This window comes from Homo sapiens, chromosome 1 (assembly GCF_000001405.40).
Source record: "Homo sapiens chromosome 1, GRCh38.p14 Primary Assembly".
NCBI lineage: Eukaryota > Metazoa > Chordata > Mammalia > Primates > Hominidae > Homo > Homo sapiens.
Window position 1 is genome coordinate 103,415,108 of NC_000001.11, and position 15,630 is coordinate 103,430,737.

Consider the following 15,630-nt stretch of genomic DNA (forward strand, 5'->3'; position numbering starts at 1 on the left):
GTTAACTTTTATTCTACCAAATGGCTCAGGTAGGTAAGAGCATGTTGTTTGATATCATTGTTAGATGCTTAATCAATGCCATCATACAACTTGAGAAATACGTAGAGTTATATATTGTTAGAAGCTAAAGTCCAGCAAAAGATCACGTTCATCCTAAGTTTTGACAAAATGTATCCTGTGTAGATCTATTATACAAACAAAAGATGTCCTCGGATGGCTCCTGAATGCTAAAAAATGGAAATGGTTAGAGACATTATCGTCAACTGGCTGAAGCAGGCGCCTGACTAACTCCAAGACTGGGTCAGATAAGGTGATGCTTCCTTTGAGGAGCAGTGTTACTATGCACCCTACTGCTGCCATTTAAACAATCTTCACACAGTGACTTTCCCTGGAGGATGCTACTGAGGGTTCAAAAGGGGATGCAGGCTTCGTGTGGTCCCCTCCCACAGATTCAGTTGTTTGTGTAAAGCAGTTGCCTTGCCAAAGACCTCCCGCCCAAAGATTCTAATTTCCATTTATAAACATGGTTTCCAATTTTTTCAACGATCAAATATTTATATTAGAAAAATATGTTTAATCAAAGCACTCCATAGTTTAAATAAAAATAAGCATTTAAAATTATATCTCTGCATCATGTAATATGACCATTAATTAGCAATAATAAATTTCTTATTTCACTACTGTAATATATTCCAAAAAGTAGAATATTAAAGTATTAATAGAAAAAGAAACCTTACAGAGGCACAAAAATGTTGAATAAAAAAATTCATTCAAAACAGAATCTCCATGTGTGTAATTAATTCATGGTTACATCACAAATAGAAATCAGATATTATTTGAATACTCATTCAAAGTATAGAAAGGTATAGAAAAAGGAACTCATGCTCACAGTCTACAGTTGTTCATTCTCAAAGAACACAAATGTGGATTAAAAAGTTTGAATTCCTTATCTTTAAATTACATGCTGCAATCTTCTAAATATTTAATCACAAATAAATGAATCACCTATGAAATAGAAGTTTTAAGTGTTATGTAATTTTTGGAAGTATGTTAAAATAATTCACTCTCTTGCCTTCAGACTTTACAGAAGACATAACTCACAAAGTAAACAAATATAATTAAGTAGCTAATTTAACTATCAGGACTAAATATATCAGATTCTACAAAAAATATAGCTGTACCAAGACTACAGCTGATTCTACCAAATTAATCCTCTATTTGGTTAGTAACTCTCATTTTTCAGCCTCTCTTCATTCAAACACAATTTAACAAGGCGAGCATTTACTTGCTATATTGGAACACCAAAAAAAGTAGACGCTATTATCTTTGTTCTCAAAGGATTTCCAATGCAGTTAGAAAAACCACCATACACTGAAGAATTATGGATTCATTCATTTTATAGTAATTAGTATTATGCAAATCTGAGTCACAATATTTAATAATGTTTTATTATACTGTTGACCTAAGGATAGACAATCATTGCAGTGCTAGAAACTAGCAGAGTTACTCAGAAGAGTAATGTACTATGTTAGGAAGCAGTATTGCCCATTCATTCGTTTATTCAACAATGATTTATTGAGCATCAGTTTTGAACCAGATTATCTTCCAAGAACAGTAAAAAAAAATTAATAAAATATAAAGTTTTATTCTTAAGGAAACTACATCTCAGACTTGGTTAGTTTTCTCCTTTGTCTTATATACACATATCTTCAACTTCTCCCTCCAGCACCTCTTCTCTGGGCAAACAGCCCAGTCTAGACTCATCATGGTACATGCCAAATTCTTCTGGCAATAATTTGTTAAGCATTATGCACATGGTCTATATTAGTCCATTTTCACACTGTTATAAATAAATAAATACCCAAGACTGAGTAATTTATAAAAGAAAGAGGTTTAATTGACTCATAGTTCCACATGGCTGGGGAGGCTTCAAAAAACTTACAATCATGGTGGAAGGCAAAGGGAAAGTAAGGCCCTTCTTCACATGGTGGCAGGAGAGAGAAGTGCAAGCATGAGGAAGTGCCACACTTTAAAACCATCAGCTATCCTGAGTTACTCAATATCCTGAGAACAGCGTGGGGGAAACCACCCTCATGATCCAATCATCTCCAACCTGATCCCTCCCCTGACAGGTGGAGATTACAATTTGAGATGAGATTTGGGTGAGGACACAAAGCCAAATCATAGTCTAAATAAAGATAGTGAGTCCTTCTCTGGAATTGGTATTTCTACTTAATTGAATATAAAGTTCTATCAATTCAATTTAAAATATCCCAAGTAATACAACAGATGGGCCATAAATGATCATTAAATAGGCAAATTGGTAGTGCTAAGAAAATTTTAAGTAAATATAAATCTCTGTGATTTGTAGCTCAGAGAAAGGAATAGAGGAAAAATAAGTAATAAACAAACCTTAATAAATGAAGGATTTAATTTGTTAAATTAGTCATTTCATGAAGAAGAAATGATAGAACTTTATTAATCAACAGACTATTCCATTGGACTTATTTTTCATGTTAAGTAGGAAAAGAGGAACTGATTACAATTTTCAGGGAGCAAAAGAAAAAGTAAATTTTGAAGAACTTTATGTGAGTTTCCACTGTCCATGCTGCTCCCTGTAGCTCTTGCAACAAGCTGTAAAGTACTCTGTGCTGTTTCACACACAACTTTCCTTTTCGTCTTTGAAATTAAGATTGAAAGCTCCATAAGGACATAAACCTGTCTGAGATAAACTTCCTAAAATAAATCTTGTTAATAGCTTTCATTAGGAAGTAAATGAGTACAAATAATAGTAAGTTCTCAGAGGCTATCAAAAGATTTTCAAAAATGCCAAATTCAGCCATAGACTAAGTAGGAAGTAAATGGTAGGTCTTTGTTAACTTACGAAACAGCTAAATCATCTTAAGCCAAGGTAATTGAAATTTGTGTTAAACTCCTTATATACACTTATGTAATTTTAAAATGTCTTGTGTAATTTTAAATGTACTTTAATGACACCATCTTATGTATATTGCAGGTATTATCCCCAGTAAAAATTACTGGACATCATGTATCTTCAGCGTGTTCATCAGGAGTCACACGCAGTATCAAATGTTGAATGTAGATTCCAAAGGTCTACTGTAATCCAAAAAAATAAGAAGCAAATTTAATATCTACCTCAAGCATCACAAATTGCCAGAATTAATGAATAGATAATATAGCCTCTCCTTTCCTCTTTACTCTATATATGCATATCCTGAAGCTGCTCCTGAGTCAAGGGAAAACTTCTCCTAATAAAAGATGGCTATTTTCCAAAAAGCATGCAAGGCACCATGTTCCCTTGTTACAACCACTATTTATAGAGAATTTGATCTATAACAGAGATATACTGGGAAGACTTTTTGGTGAACTGTCAAATGCCCAAGAATTAAAATCAACACTCAACCAGAGTCAATGTTTCAAAGTTAAAATATAACCATCATAGAATGAACTTCTGCAATGTAAAAATAAATCTGAAATTCTATAAAGTAATTTAATTTTACTAGAAATTTATCATTAAAATACACTGGTCAAATTTAAAGTTTAACATAATTATGCAGCAACAAATTGCTCCTGTGTTCTCTCTCTTAAATATTTGCCACACAAAATAGAAACTCACTTTCAACTGAGATCAGTAAAGATTCAAGATCTTGTTTGTCTGACTCCTCCAAGAGGTCTGTATGTAGATACCTATGTAAGGTATGTCAGATTACATAACCATTATCAAGTCATTAAGCCTTTCTTGCTAATTAATATAAAGTACATTATTAATATAAAGAAACATACACTCTTTAACTCCTAGAAATAAAGGTTTTGGTTGATGGTGATGATGCAGTTTCAGGATGCAATCCTACAAACTGAAATTTTGCACATAGCTTCAAAAAATAGCATTTTAATATTTTAGATGCAGACTTTAAAAATTCATTTTTAACATAGTTATTAATTCTACTATTTGTAGGTATTTTCACATTAAAAAAAAAACAGCAGCCAATTTTCCATTCTTCTAATTCATCTGCTTAAGATATAAGGAATTCCCAAGTAGGATATTTGTCTTGTAACACCCACGACTGGGATAGAATTAAATAATTCACTATTAAATATAAATGGTAAAAGTTATTTTGCTCATTCCTGGGAACAATGAACATAGTGAATAATTCCAGAAAGATTAGAATTACAATATGATAGCTTTGAAAAACATCAATGTAGCTTAAAATGTCCTTTACTGTACTTATTGTCATTGATATATAAGAATAGGTCCAGGGTGACCACACTTGCATCTGATGACCATCTCACAGTGGCCGTCAAATATCAAAGCAACAGTGGAAAATTGATACTTCTAGTCCAGATTATTTATACAGGAACTTAAAGTTTTTAATGGAAAGAGAAAGAGACAGAATTATTTTGAGATGGGTCACATTAAAGTTCTGGCTCCAAAAAGAAGTCCCAGTGTCTCTGCTGGTAAGTTTTCTGGAGCTGTCCTGGTGTCAACCCTTCCTAAGATCTCTGAACCCATTAGGCATCAATATTATCTCAATAAGTTCCATTTTGTTCTTGGCATCTGTTACTTATGACTAAAACTACCTCAAAAGTAAAGATTCTATTACTGTCATTGGCCTTCTGTTACTCGCATTTAAGTATTTCTTATAATATTTAAATATGAAGTTGAATTTTTTCCATTTATAATAGACTTGGAGGACACAACTAGTATATTTGAAAATTGTACAATTTTAATACATGAACAAGTAAAAATTGTCTTATCAAGTTTATCTTAATAATAAGTGCTGCAAAATTCATCTGTGATAGTAGTAGACATGATAATTATCTAGGAAAGGTGAAACTCTAGCAACAAATATTTCAAAACTTGTTCTGGAAAGTGAACTTTTAAAAGATTTTAAGATTACATATAGGTCTTTGCAAGAATAGAAAATATTTCTATGTTTTTATAATAGAAACATTTTCTTGATAGAAAACCTCTTGGTTTTCAATACCTAAATTTCAGAGAATATACTTATTTCTCAGTACAAAGGTTTTGGTCAACGGTAATAAAGGAAAAAAATATATTTTAATCCTCTACACTTTGTAAAACACTTTCATGAAAATGGTGTGCAGGAAAATATTCAAGTTGCAATAAAAATACACTTGACAGGCTGGCAGATTCAGGCATAGATATGGCTGATGATCAGTGCATCACAGTGTCATACGCAAGGCAACTGTACCATTATGTCTTATCCTCTACCATTCTTTCAGCATGATCTTCTTTTTGACTAGTGCTGTGCGTTTAGTATCCACATTTTTGAGAAAGTGTTGGAGGAAATTTTAGAGAATTAAGCAATTTAAGGGAAAAAACTGACTTAAATAGAAGAAAAGGTTTTTCTGCATACAAAGCAGCTAATTTTTAACAACCATGTCAATTACTTTGAGATTAGAAGTCATGTTTTAACCAAATTAAATCCTAAACAAATAGTTCATCACTCTTACAAATGTTCATATTTCAGCTATACTCTAGGAAATTGGTTGGGTTTTTAGGGTTTCTGTGTAATGTAGATAGATTTTTTTCTAAAAGAATGGTGACAAGCTCTTGCTGGTATTCTCAAAAAGTATATTTATTTGAAAAAACTGTTATCTTTCTGGAATTTAAATTATTCTACAGATAGAGGGGAAAAAAAGTTTCAAAAGCATCCAGCGTGAGATTGCATGTGATTCTTACTCATTATTTTCAATGCAAAGATTATAAATAAAGGTTAAAAGAGCATAGCAAATCCAAAAGGGATTTATTCTAGATATGCAAAAAAAAAAAAAGGTTTGGTATCAATTAAAAATCATATAAAATTAGGTCAAATAAAGATCATATAACACAAAGAAGGCATTTTAAAAGTTAAACATCCATATATAATTTCTGAAGCAGAAACCTTATGCCTAATTGTGTAATAAGCATGCATTCTTAGCAAAGTCAGGAGTAAAACAATTGTTACCACTTTATTTTAAATTGTTTGAAAGGTACAATCAATGTAATTAAACAAGAAAATTAAGTGAGAAGCAAACTTATTTTATCTGCAGTGATGGTTTGAATACTTAGAAACAAAAACAATTGAAATTAAAATGAGAATACCTGAAAATAGCATATTATAAAAATCAAAATCCTGCATTTACACAAATAATAACCATTTAGAAAGTATAACAAAAGGTGCCAGGTGCGGTGGCTCACGCCTGTAATCCCAGTACTTTGGGAGGCTGAGGTGGGCAGATCACAAGGTCAAGAGATCAAGACCATCTTGGCCAACATGGGGAAACCTTGTCTATACTAAAAACACAAAAATTAGCTTGGTGTGGTGGCATGCTAATAGTCTCAGCTACTCGGGAGGCTGAGGCAGGAGAATTGCTTGAACCCAGGAGGCGGAAGTCGCAGTGATTGGGCCACTGCACTCCAGCCTGCAACAGAGTGAGACTCTGTCTCAAAAAAAAAAAAAAAAAAAAAATGGAAAGAAAGAAATAAAAGACAGTATAACAAAAGGAAAGATTTTTTTGCGTAAGTATAAAAAATAATTTTCATATTTCTGAGTAAATCAATCTAAAAATCAATATAACTGTATGGAAGTAAACATTAAAATTCACTTAAGTATTGTAAATGATTTGAATAAATGAAAAATATACTGTTCTCTTGTATTGTCAAATTCAATATTGGAAAGATTCAATCCTTCAAAATTAACACATAAAATTAATATATTCTCAGTAAAAACACCAACATACACTTCAGAGTTCTTGTTCCTTTTCTATGCTTTATAAACAAAACAAGACAAAATAAATCTAAAGTTCACTTGGAAAAATCAACATATAAAATACTCCCTCCAAAATGTGAATATGTGATTAGTGAAGATTCTTCCAGTAACACATTAAAATATATTGTAAAGCTACTATAATAAAACAATGCAATTCAAGTCCAAGGACTGGTACAAATTCATAAATCAATACATTAGAATATATCATACAAAACAGGACTCTAGTGTACATGAGGATTTAGTGTATGATGAAGTGGTCTCATATTACTCAGGACATTTAGGGTTATAAGTGAAAGAAACCCAACTCAAATTGGTTACTATGGTTTTAATGTTTGTGTCCCACCCAATCCGCCCCTAAATTCTTATGTTGAAACTTAATCACCAATGTGATGGCGTTAGGAGTTGGGGCCATTGAGAGGTAAGTCATGAGGGTGGGGCCCTCATAAATGAGATTAGTGACTGTTTTAGTCCATTTTGCATTGCTCCAAAGAACACATGATGCTGGGTAATTTATAAAGAAAAAGGTTTATTTTGGCTCATCGTTCTGCAGACTGTACAAGAAGCATAGTGCTAGCAACTGTTTCTGGTGAGGGCCTCAGGAAGCTTTCAACCAGGTGGAAGGCAAATGGGAAGCAGAGGTGTTACGAGAGAGCAAGAGAGAAAGGAGGTGCCAGGCTCTTTTAAACAACTTCTCTCCCATGAACTAATAGAGTAAGAATTCACTCATCACCAAGGGGACAGCACCAAGCCATTCATGAAGAATATGCCCTCATAATCCAACACCTCATTAGGCCCCACTTCCTACATTGAGAGTCACATTTCAACATGAGATTTGGAGAGGACAAAGATCCAATGATACCAGTAATCCCCAGGGACGTGTGTTGATCCTCCCAGTATGTGAGGACACAGCTAGAAGGTGTCACATACAAACCAGAAAACAGGCTCTCACCAGACACTGAATCTGTTGGCACCTTAATCTTGGACTTTCCAGCCTCCAGATTTGTAAGAAATACACTTCAGCTGTTTATAAGCTACCTAGTCAGTGACATTTTGTTATAGAAGCCCAAATGGACTAAGACATTGGTTTAAGTAAAAGGGGAACTTTATTGGCTAGTAAAGCCATACCACGCAAATGCAAGATTTACAGCTATATCAATGGATATCAGGAGTTATTTTATCTGTGACAATCTCTAGTGATTGTCATACTGCCTGGCAGAGAGAAAACAAGCAAAACCAATGTTAGTTGACTGAGTGCACGGACTAAGGAGCAGCCTTGAATCCAGTATCAGGAATTGGGATGGAGAATGTAGTGATACATAAATAAAGTGGAACTTGATGCTCAGTCTCAGACAGTCATGAAACTAGAAGTAAAATTGTGTCCAAAATTTTTACTGCCACATAAGAAACACAAAATTGAGAGTGGAAGAGGAGAAAATATTAAATAAACTCTGGGGCAGACTTTGGGCATACAATTTGGGGGAAGGCGTGCAAGTATATACAGGTATGCGGGGTGAAAACTAGTTTATGAAGTGACAGAGAAAAGTGCAGTTTGGAGGGTAAATTATATATATAAAAATAAAAAATAAAAAATACAGAAAATAAGTTAAAATGTCAAATGCATGTATTCAAAAGAGAAAATAGCTTATGTCTTAAGAGAACTTTTAAAGAGATCTATTATTTACTAAATTCTTTCCACATTCAAGAGAAATTTCTAAGAAATTTAGCAATCAAGAATCACTTAAGCAGATCAACTATGTTATCATCTTCATTTTATGGGTGAGAAACTGAAACTCAGAAAGGTAAGCAAGTTGTCCGAGATCACATAGTAAATAAGCTGAGATTCATGCTGTAGCCATCTGACTCCAGAGCCCATACACATAGACTCTACACTAAACCTAATGTGTATGAATAAATTTGAAATGAGAACTAAATGCATTATAAATATATATTAATTTTAAATGAATAGGTTATATGCATTTACATGTGTGTGTGTTTATCACATCACAACACTGCATAAAAGCTTTCATATTCTATTATTGTTTTATATCAAATTTAATCTTCTTTGAACTTGCACCTGCCTGGATGGTAAGAAATTCATTGTCACTCATTTTGAAGTCTCCTCGCCACAATAGATCCACAGGATAATATACAATTTCTGGACAAGTGTCACAGTAGAAAAGCAGGGAATGTTCTTGGTCTATGCTCCAAGATTGTTGCCATCTTGACTATTGCTCCCTTGGCCACATTGATGCTAGTCTGAAATTCTGATAGCTACTGTCTATCTGGTAGGCCCTGAAGCTTCAGACTCACTGACAGTTACCTCTTAAATGCCTTTTTATTCATCGCAGACTCAGTCCTAGAAACTTTTACGACTGCTTTTAGGCTTTAGCATTTACAACTGCAAGAAAAATCTGCATGAAATATCTAACTTCCCTACTCACGAAGTAAAGTAAATACCCCTTATGCTTTCTTGAAATCTTAGACAGCTACATCTGAAATGGTCTTCTTTGTAGTTGAGCAGTATGCTTTATAGTCTTGTGTTAGGTTCAGACTTCCCTTAGAAGTCTTCAGTTCTGTAGTGTATAGCCCAAGCTACTGCAAAATGGTGGATAAAGGATTGCCCAGATACCAAAGTATTGGGATATTAAGGATCTTGTGGAGGAGCACCCACATATAGATTAATGGAATACACAAAGCAACAATCAAGTCTTCAGTTGGTATATTAAGTCTCCATCTGCCCTAGCTGGCAGAGTCTGAAATTGGGTCACTAAAATCATCTCTTTCATGCCTGACTCCCTCTCTCCTGGAGTGAACAACCACTTCCCCCTCATTTTCTTCTCTAATGAGTTTTTAAAGTTGAAAACAGTTGAACAGTTGAAGGGAGGGGTTCAGTTTCCACCAGGCTGAGCTCACAGTGGAGAGTTTACTCAGAGCAGCCCCTCCCTTTGCCTGCTCATGCTGGGCCTGAGCCATACTCCCTGGGTCTATGGCTCCTCTGGCCAAAGTCAAGTCTCCAAAGCCTCTAGCGTCAGTCAACGTAAAAACTTTTAACCAACCCTCTGGATGGTATTTTAAAAACTGACCTGAAAAGAAGCTTATTCTAAACTACTGAGACATTCAGCCATGGCACTGAACACTTTTTGAGACTCAAATAGCCTCAGACTCAAGACTTTAACTCCATTTCATCATTGTTTGTATTTCAGGACCCCAGACGCCTTCCATTCTTCTAGCAGTGAATCTTCTCCAAATGGACTTCTCAATCAACCCAAAGTTTCATCCTCTTCAAAAAACAGAGTTCATGGGATTTATCCACTCACTGTCAGTGCAGTTTTCCCTTGTCTTAAAATTTCAGCCCATATTTAAATGATATTTAAGCTAGGAGGAATATGGAAGTTTCCATAAAATAAAACAGAGGTCTCCAACTCATTTGATCTGAATTTCTGTCAGAAATAATGGTTTTCATTATGACTCTTTATACAAACTTTTATGTGTTTATAAGTGTATATAGGTATATAAAAATATATGTAACAAAAATAAAACAGTACAGAGTCTTATTCTATGTGATGCAATGAGATATTTTCATTTGATTTTTTTTAAATGCCTGTGGTGATTTCCCAGATTGATTTCATAACTCACTAAGGGGCCCCAAAAATAATTTGGAAAAAACTCCTGAAGGACACTGAGGACATTGGCTAGTATGTATTCATCTCTCAGATGGAGATGATCAAGTCATTTTTGAAATTTGAAGTCTGAGATAGGGGACTTAAATATCTTCTTCCATGTTCCTTATTTCTCAATAGTCTCTTGGGAATAACAAAGTTATTTATTGAAAAAGGCTAAATTCTCTTCCCTTAATGAGCATTCTGCCAATCACTATATATCTGCTCCCAATGTTTAAAATATTTAATAAGCCCCATTCACACTAAATCTCGTATCAGATCACTGGTATTCCCCAAATCCACAGGGTTTTATGGGAGTTCCACTATTCATTAATTCTCCAACATAGTAAAAGCCGTTATCTGAAAATTAACAACCCTCAATTCTAAGTATTTTAGTCTTCCTCATAAATATATATTTCATAAAGTTTTATAATAGTACCCAAATTGTTTCATGTATAACTGATATTAATTTTACCCCCATAATATTCAAGTCTAAGGAATTTTATTTTGAGTCACCATGTTAAATCAAATATCCTCCAAGCTTCGAAATACTGACAATAATTTCAATTCAGTCAATATTGAGACTCTCTCATTAAACATTGAAAACTCCTGAGTTTATACAACGCCTAAAAAACAGTTCATCATGATTTTCTCCTTAGCCTTGCTCCTTTAGCTTCTCGCTGCTGCAATTGAGCAGTGATGTTGACTACCTTTTAGGCACTGGTTTCCTCTGAGTTTAACCAAATTCAGATATTCATGCCATTCCAGTTCTCTGCACTGACCTTCATCTAAAAGCACACAGCAATCTTGTAATCCACTCCCATTTTGGGGCAATGTATGCCGTCTGGACACAAGTTTCCATAGCAAACTGAAATGCCAAAGCTCCTTTTGTAAATCTCAGGTAACTTCAAACTCTTGGGCTAGTCACATCGGCTCCCACTAAAAAAGGACTTTCACTGCCTACCTCTCTGAAATAATCTCGCCTTTAAAAAGTGTTGTTCATTTCCCTCTTGAATATATTACTTACTTGGGGGAACACCGACTTTAAAAAATATTAATATAATGAGGATTTCTGACTTTTAGGGAACAGGGAAGGTATGGAGAAAGAAGATGCTTTATTCTTCCTTGGTAAGAGTCTATAGCAGTAATGAAACCTGAGACACCAGTTCTGTGTCTGGGTGTGTGTGTGTGTGTGTGTGTGTGTGTGTGAGAGAGAGAGAGAGAGAGAGAAAATGAGGTGGAAAAAGAGATTCTTGTTACAAATTCACTGTAAGCACTTAAGACTACCCTCTTTTGCAGGTTAGGGGAAGGAAGCTTAATAAGGTAGCACTGGAAAAAGTTACACATACTCTTTGTAAGCATTAGAATAAATATGAGGTGAGATTATCATTTATTAATTTAATTTCTAAAATTGCATGCCCACTGAATAAACACAAGTTTGGAAAGAATAAAATAGAGCATATAAATTAATACCAGGAGAATAATTCTAAAATTATACTTTCTATTATCCCAGAGGGAAAGAATGTTTATATTTTTTAAGAACCATAAGCATTTGGGATTTAACCACCTTTGCATCCAGGAAACTTCAAAAGTAGGCTTAGTTTAGATTAGGACAACCACAACAATAAATAGGATGGCACTCAATCTTGTGTTTTCATCATGTTCAGGGAAAGCACAGTCCTGACAAGAGAAAGAATTGATGAGAAAATAGGAGAGTAGATAAGCAAATGAGTTCTTTTCCCCTCCTTGACTAAGCAGAAATATTACTAGTGGTATCATATCTAATAGAGAAGTATTACATTTTCAATTTAGGGATGGTTATTGATTTTCTTTCCATGAATGGCATAGAGGTAGACTAAAATTGTTCTCAGTTGCATTATTATTCTTACTACCATGTGTGTAATAATGACAAAAATAAAATGTAGTCATAGAGTTTTCCTCATTTTATTGAACAAGGGAGAGAAAGAGAAAAGAAAAGAAAATTGAACATTCAGAAAACAGAAAATTAAAACTTTTCTTTTGTTTGCCCTAGCAATTCCAAGATCTAATTGACTCCATCTACATTTTTGGTTGTTTTTATTTTCATTTTTAAGGTTAGCTTTGTGGTGGTTTTTCCAAGTTTCAATTTCAGCTTAAGAATGCTCAGTATTTTAAAATTATCTGTTCTAAAAGTATTAAAAACACATTTGATTTTACTATGGATAACCAAATTTTTATGTATGTGTGTACACACACACAAACATGAATGAAGAAAAAAATGAAAGAAATGGAGAAAAAGTGGGGAGGAAGCTTATCTTAGAAGGTGAGTATTAAGAGGCACAATTATTCATATAAGAGCTTTAGTTCTTTTTTGAGTTTATGTTAAGTTTGCTAATAGTTTTTCTAAGTTATTTTGCAGTAATAAATAACCCCAACAATCTTAGTGGCAATAACCTTACAGCAACAATGGTTTATTCTTGCACGTTACTCATCCTTCACTGTTCAGTTGTGGCTTTGCCTCATATTGTCTTCACTGCTGGACCAAGGTGTAAAGAACAGCCCTATTTTGATCTTATGAAAGAAGAAAAGCAATGTTGCAACCATGCAATGAATGAGCAATGCTATACATCACTTTTACTCCTATTTCACTGGTCAGAGCTACTCATATGGCCAAAGCATGCTGTAAATAAGGCATGAATGAAGCAGGAGTAAGACTCTCTCTTAAGAGGGAGCATTGCACATCACATGGCAGTGGGCAGTGATGTATTCACTCTCTCCAAGTATAAGAGTAAGCAATTCGGAATAACGATGCCGTCTATCTCAGAGTCCTTACCAACATCTTATTCTATATAAATTCTATATAAATTTTATTCTAGAATGACTTAGAATGGGACAACTTGGATCTTGCTTTACTCCATTAAAAACATACTGTTGGCTGGGCATGGTGGCTCATGCCTATAATCTCAGCACTTTGGGAGGCCGAGGTGGGCAGATCACTTGAGGCCAGGAGTTTGAGACCAGCCTGGCCAACATGGTGAAACCCCTTTTCTACTAAAAATACAAAAATTAGCTGGGCCTAGTGGCATGTGCCTGTAATCCCAGCTACCTGGGAGGCTGAGGCAGGAGAATTGCTTGAACCCAGGAGGCGGAGATTGCAGTGAGGCAAGATGGGGCCACTGCACTCCAGCCTGGGTGACAGAGTACGATTCTGTCTCAAAAAGCATACTGTTGGGTTGGGTGTCTCTATTTTCTGTTTCCTTGTAACTCAATAAGAGAATAATAGAAAAGGAAAGGAAGATAATTCCAGTATCAAAAAGTTTCAGTTAGAGAACTTTCATTTAAAAACCAAAGACTATTTCTGCTTCCACTTTGCTATGAGTTGCTATAACTCATTGAATGAAATCTTCAATATTACATGCATAGGTAGATAATACAAAGCAGGTACATAACTCTCAGCCAAGTTGTTTTTCCTCTTTTCTTACTAGTTGAAGACGGTCCCCGGAAAATACCCCAGAGCACATATATTAAACCAAGAGGGGCTCTGAGCTCCAATATCTTCTTTTTACCTAAAAAGAAGTGTTATTGGGTTTCCCTCAGATACTCCAGAGAGAAATAATCAATCATCACTAGTAATACCAATTGTTCTCACCTGCATCGATCACCAGCCGGGGGTAAGAGGAAGCAATTTTACCAGCACTCACTTCATTCCAGCCAAGGAGGTAAATGGAAATGAGAGAAAGTTCTTACCAATCTGCACATAGAAGTGTGGACATTTCTTCACTTTTAGGGGACATTCAGGTTGGGTTTTCCCTTTTTCTTCTGGAAGAGTAAGACCTAAATATAATTCAGGATGTGGAAGAAAGAAGAATGAGATTTCTCCTTGTATATGAAGAGAAGAAATATGAGGGTCATATGAGAATTGTAGTTATTGAGGCAGACTATAGACAAGTTGCCATGGCAATGACCCCTTGATTTTCGCCTTTTCCTAACTCTGTACTTCTCTGAACATATCTTTTCAGATTTTTTGTTCTTTTACCTATTTGCTTACAAGTATTGTGGTTGTGATAAGTAAAATTAATTTTATTTTTTTCTCTATGTTCTCAGTATAAAGACATAAATAAATAATATGCTAAGTCATTTGGTGATATTTGAGCTAGAAGTTTTTCAAGGAAAAATTTAAAAGTAATGAAGGCATTCATTTATACATATCTCTTGCCTATTCCAATTAATGGGACACTGAGAAGCAGCTTAAAGTACATGTTGTAAATAACATATATATCAATCCTGAAATAGACATATATAGCTTCAAGTATCTTATAGCATTTTAACAAACACAACACACAAACGATTACAATTTAAGGGGTTTCTAAATGTAGACTTTTCAAATTAACAATAATCTGCAATTTAATAATTTTGAACAATGAATGCAGCTTCTTAGGAATCCAGAAAAGCATTTATTCGGAATAAATAATTATGGCCCAATATATTAGACATGCTGTCTGCATCAAAACTATTATTTCATTGCAACTGTACTATTTGCTAATATGATAGGGCTTAATTCTATCTGAATTAAAGTATTATATACCCTTTCTACAACCCAATTTTTGGATGTCTAATTATATGGTGTATCTCTTCATGTGGCTCAATTTTTAGTTATCTTTATTTAAAATAAAATATATTTATAAAAACAATACAAATCAATTTTTTGTTTTATATATTATATATAAGTATATAACAATAAATTACATAATTAATAAAAATATTTAATAACAATTATTAAATATTATTTCATAAATTTTAACTTTATAAACTTCTCTTAAGCTGTAAACCTGTACTCCCACTCAATAATGCAGTCATTTTGGTTAGGTACATTTATAATTGTACCTTTGGTTAGATAATGTCTAATTTCTTTGGATGAAAAATCTAAAACTTCAGGGTTTTTGCTAGAGGGTTCCAGGTTATTTAACATTGGTTCATTTCAGCTGGATAAAATGTCAGTTCTCTAGGTTCCATTTTATCTCAAAATAATAAAAAAAATTTGTGGCAGTGATCTACATATTTTATAGCTTCCTTGAATAGTGAGAAAGTTTACCTTGAGACAAAAGAAGATGTAAATACAGAAGGAGTATAAGAAGCATGCTCTAGTCATTTCGGATTTAGATACTGCTTTTTGGAAAAAGAATATGGAAAACACAAGA

At 34.0% G+C, this 15,630-nt stretch overlaps 1 long non-coding RNA gene across 3 annotated transcripts in view; it reads right to left on the bottom strand.

Moving 5' to 3' along the window:
- Positions 1 to 1,872: 1,872 nt before the first annotated feature.
- Positions 1,873 to 15,630, bottom strand: part of RNPC3-DT (RNPC3 divergent transcript) — a 108,529-nt gene continuing 94,771 nt past the window's right edge. For 2 of the 3 annotated variants that reach the window (NR_168320.1, NR_168319.1), the window contains 3 exons: positions 14,180 to 14,266; positions 3,638 to 3,708; positions 1,873 to 3,117 (listed from right to left, as the gene is read on the bottom strand). This is a non-coding gene — a long non-coding RNA (RNPC3 divergent transcript). The remainder of the gene's footprint in view (positions 3,118 to 3,637; positions 3,709 to 14,179; positions 14,267 to 15,630) is intronic. The other variant, NR_168321.1, reaches the window with a different exon arrangement.